The sequence below is a fragment of the Homo sapiens genome, chromosome 10 (assembly GCF_000001405.40).
Source record: "Homo sapiens chromosome 10, GRCh38.p14 Primary Assembly".
Classification (NCBI taxonomy): Eukaryota; Metazoa; Chordata; class Mammalia; order Primates; family Hominidae; genus Homo; species Homo sapiens.
In genome coordinates, this window is record NC_000010.11 from 58,131,211 (window position 1) to 58,136,255 (window position 5,045).

Sequence of the window (5,045 nt, forward strand, 5' to 3'; positions counted from 1 at the left end):
TAATATGTATATGTATACACATACATATACAGTATACATAGTATATATGTGTGTGTATATATATGTGTGTATATAAAGCCTTTTACAGGTAGTGTGTTCAAATCAGAATTCAAACAAGGGTTTTTTAAAAATATTTATTGTATCTATAGTTATTACTCATTTTTCATTCCTGTTTTTCTTTCTGCATCTTTTCTCCTTTTTCATGATTAGTCTTGCCAGAAGTTTACCAGCTTTGGTTTTGTTAATATTTTTATTCTATTGTATGCCTATCTGATTTAGTTTTTATTGTGGTAGAATATACGTAACATAAAATTTACCATTTTTATGTGTACAATTTAGTAGCATTAAATACATTCATGTTATGCAACCATCACCAGTATCTATTTCAATAACTTAGAAATAAACAATTTTATAAGGAGATCCAAGAAAGTGACTTTACCTCCTCAAGACAACTTCTCTCCTGAAAATAGGATGGATGGAGATTTCAGAATAGATATTTACAAGCTCATTAGAAGTTCTCAATATCATGCCCATTTTTAAAGCTCTGACCTATTTCACAGTAAGATGGCCTTAACTAGTAATTAATAAATGTCATTTACAAGAAGAATGTATAACTGCATTAAATCCTCATCCAAATACATGTCAACAGCCCATCAAGCAGCATCATATAGATGAAATTGCTGGTTTCATCCCAAGGCTCATTGAATTATAATGCTGTTTATAAAGATTAACTCACCAATGAATGGCATCTCAATTTATAGCAACTGGTTTAGTCTCTGAAATGTGTCCACCTCGTCAACAGTCACACTCACTTATCCATTTTCCCTCCTATTATTATTAATTAGAAATGATACAATCAGTCCTTACCAGTACAGAAAGCTGTCGACATTCTCTGCTGAAAATGTATTGGGACAAAATCAATTAGTCAAATTTGATTAAAACAGTTGGTAAACTGAAAAGAACCTCAACAATACAGATTATCCTTCTAGTTCTACTAAAGTCAAAACTTTGAAATAAAATGTGATACATGTATTTTTTTAACTGAGGATTTACTCAAGGAAAGCAAGAGAATAAGAAATCAAACATCCTGAACACTGCATGGAGCATTCCACATGAGATTTGATTTAAGGCATCACAACTCACCATCTTAGAAAACATGAGGGATCCAGTCTGTGATGAGCAGGTCATTAAGTGCTGTGATGCATGGGTCTCCATGAAAACATGATTCCTTTCTGATTTTTAAAAAATGCATAGGATTGAGGAGGAGAGGAAAAAGGAAGAAGTAATCCTATTTTTACATCTTATCCAAATATGAAGATAACATTGGAAAACCTGCATAAGGAATAAAGTATGAAATTACTTTCACAGTGTATGAGCATCATGGTCACTGCTGGTCTGTCATAATATGCTTTAAGGAATATTTTATTCCAGTACTTTAGATTTCAACTCCTGGCTGATAACAGCCTACAAAACATCAGCATGAATTAAACATAGAAGAATCACAAAAACTGAATGTAACAAGAGGAGGTTGATGCAGTTTGGCTTCTTTGATCTACAATTAAAATAAAACATGATAGAAAATCTTTCTGAGGCAAAAAGCAGCAGCTTTGTAGAGGAGTAAACAAAGATGCTGCAAATGTAATTATCTTAACTAAATAGAAATAAGAGAAAATGAATGGTTGAGCAATTTTACTTCTGCAACTGATTTTATTGATTTGTAGAAGGAACAAGCCAGCCAGCTCCAGAGTCAATGTATTAATCGTTCATTCATGTGGGGGTGCCCATTATGCTCTGGCACTTTGCTAGGTGCTGGGGATACAACAGGGAACAAGACCAATACATTCCCATCTTCATGAAACTTGCATCCTGGTAGAAGACAGATGATAGATGAGTAGATATATTTTTAAAAGAGGGTCCATGACATAAGTTTGGCAGAAGCACATAAAACAAATGATTATAACAATGTTCGCAGAAGCAAGAAGAAAACCCACAGTAGACATGAGTGGTCACTCTCTGATCACTAATTATTATATTTATATATATCTTCACTTGATGGAAGATGGTTTTTTTACAACAGCCAGCCATCCAGACCCTCACAGAGGCAAATTTTTTGATAATGCTGGTTATGGATGTAAAAGCAAAATGAAAGAATTATTGAGCTCATGCCTGTAAGCCCAGCAATTTGGGAGTCTGAAGCAGGTGGATCTCTTGAGCCCAGGAGTTTGAGACCAACCTGGCCAATAGGCGAAAGCCAGTCTTTACTAAAAGTACAAAAATTAGCCAGGCATGGTGGCACGCACCTGCAGTCCCAACTACTCAGGAGGCTGAGCACGAGAATCACCTGAGCCTGGGAAGTCGAGGCTGCAGTGAGCTGTGATGGTGCCATTGCACTACAGTGTAGGCAATGGGAGTGAGGCCCTGTCTCAAAAACAAACAAACAAACCAGAAAGAAAAATTGAGGTCGGCGCGGTGGCTCAGGCCTATAGGCCGCAGCGGGAGGCTCAGGTGGGAGAATTCTCTGAGCCTGGGAGGTCGAGACTGCAGTGAGCTGTACTCCAGTGCACTCCAGCCTGGTTGACAGAGCGAGACCCTGTCTCAAAAAAAAAAAAAGAAAGAAAGAAAGAAAAGAAAGAGAATAATTGTGTGCACCAAGCACTTAGGAAGTTGAGCCTCTCCAGAATCTATCGCTAAGGGTCAGAGTCAAACGATCTATTACAAGGATATATATATGTAGACATATTCAGAGAAGACAAGGAAGTACAATATATGCAACATAACCCCTCTGTCTCTGCTACAGGACATGGCTGAAAATGTGCCCCTAACACAGCAATCTTTGTTCCTTACTTGGCCAGTCGCTGCTCTCCTATACTCCGCTTCATCTCCCTGCAGAGGAGAGAGGAGCCAGAAGCAAGCACCAGCTTTCCCATCACATTCTTCCCTGGTCGACTCTCTGATTAGCATGGATTAAGAAAGCCTTCACTGCCTGCACGCATCGCATTCCCTCAGACTATAAACGTTTCTTCTAAAGACTGAAAGTCCCACCCGAAGTCCTTCTGTGGTGTTAGATGTTGAGAGCCTCAGTTCTTATTTAAATACATTCCCTGGGGCCACTTGAACTATTAAGAACACGGTGATTCTCAGCCCTAACTGCACCTTATAATCAATCACCTGAAAGGGTTTTTTAAAATTATTAGTATTAAGGCACCATCCCCACAGATTTTGATTTTGATTGGATAGGGTAAGGCTCAATGGGGAGAAGTTTGAAAAGCTACCCAGGTGTTTCTAATGTTGCAGCCAAGTTTAAAAACTGCTGCATTAAAGCATTGATGTGAATTAGTTTGTCCCTTAGATAACAAAGGCCTGCCTGAGAGAAAAGTACACATTTCACCAGAAACGGAAAGACACATAGGGAGTACGCAGAGTACAAACCCCTGGAGCAGGCACAAGAATGCAGAGCCTTGATGAACCACGGTGTTCCCGGACCAAACTGAGGATTGGGCTGCTCTTTCTCGTGGCCCAGTAAAGAGTTGCAGATGAACTGGGGAGAGAGAGAGTTTTTATTTCTGTAACCAGTTACAGGGAGAAGGCCTGGAAATTATTACCAGACCAACTCAAAATTAGAAAGTTTTCCAGAGCTTATATACTTATATACTCTGGAGGCTGGGTCTTAAGATAAAGAGGGCTTACTCTGGGGAGGAGCTGCCAACTTCAATTCCCAGAGGAGCTGGGCAAAACAGAAAAATTAAACAGTTTACCTTGGGACTGCGGCAAAGTAGAACCCATTCCCTATCCATAAAAGGCAACTGAGATCAGGTCAAGAAAATTGTTGCCAAGCAGAATGTAGGCCCGGTGAGGCTGAGTACTAGTGTTTCAAATTCCTAACAAATATAAATCTTTGAGATTCTGTTTAACAGCCGGGTGCGGTGGCTCATGCCTGTAACCCTAGCACTTTGGGAGGCAGATGCGGGCAGATCACCTGAGGTCAGGATTTCAAGACCAGCCTGGCTAACATGGTGAAACCCAGTTTCTACTAAAAATACAAAAACTTAGCCGGGCGTGGTGGCGGGCGCCTGTAATCCCAGCTACTCGGGAGGCTGAGGCAGGAGAACCGCTTGAATCTGGGAGGCATAGGTTGCAGTGAGCCGATATCGCGCCATCGCACTCCAGCTTGGGCAACTAGAGCGAAACTCCACCTCAAAATAAATAAATAAATAAATAAAAGATTCAGTAAGGAGAAATCAGAATTGCCAAAATTATAAGTTATTCTAAATTATTAACACTTTATTTACATTTTTAAATAATATGGAGAAATCACAATAAGGAGCATTGAATCATTTATATGATAGTACTAAACCTCTAAAAGTTCAGAGATTTCCTATAAAAATAAGGTAATAAATAAAAAGTAATAAATGCATGATATACCATTAATATGAACCAATATACTGTGATAAGATGATATATCTCAATAACATAAGAAAATAAATGTCAAATAAAATATTTAGAAATTAAATGATAATACCACCAATATTTAATATTTTAAAAGATATCAGACTTAAAATGAAATTTTTAAGCAGAAAAAGTATCAATTGCCGTTTCCAATAGCCTTGATGTTTGTTTGGTGACAAATATTCCAAAAAACTTTTTTTCATTTTGCATTAGTATTATTTGAATTAAGTGTTCATCTAAAGACATATTTTTGTTGTATGTTAACATACATGTTCCTTCAAATAATCTAATTTTATATACGCTTTAGTTTTGATTTTGACATTGAAATTGAGATTGCTTTTGCTAATACAAATTTTAGATCAGTTTGTGATTTCATGTCAGAGTATTCCACACAAATGTACATATCTTTCTCTTTGCATTTCTCTGTTACAGTTTTGTAAGGACAGTAAGTACTATTTTAGATATTGAATATTTAGACACTGGAAAACACCAGCAGATATTATTGGGTAGTATTCTATTAACATAAAATTCAGATCTTCTAGCAAAGTTAACAGCACTACTTTCAATCCTGTGTAAAAATTGCCAATTTAGGGACATGT

At 37.4% G+C, this 5,045-nt stretch overlaps 1 annotated feature.

Moving 5' to 3' along the window:
• Window positions 2,715-3,216: an enhancer, noted in NCBI's record as "NANOG hESC enhancer chr10:59893686-59894187 (GRCh37/hg19 assembly coordinates)". NCBI's record gives its function as "activates a minimal SCP1, AML or CMV promoter by ChIP-STARR-seq in naive H9 embryonic stem cells {active_cell/tissue: H9 hESC(naive)}" and the evidence as "EXISTENCE:reporter gene assay evidence [ECO:0000049][PMID:30033119]".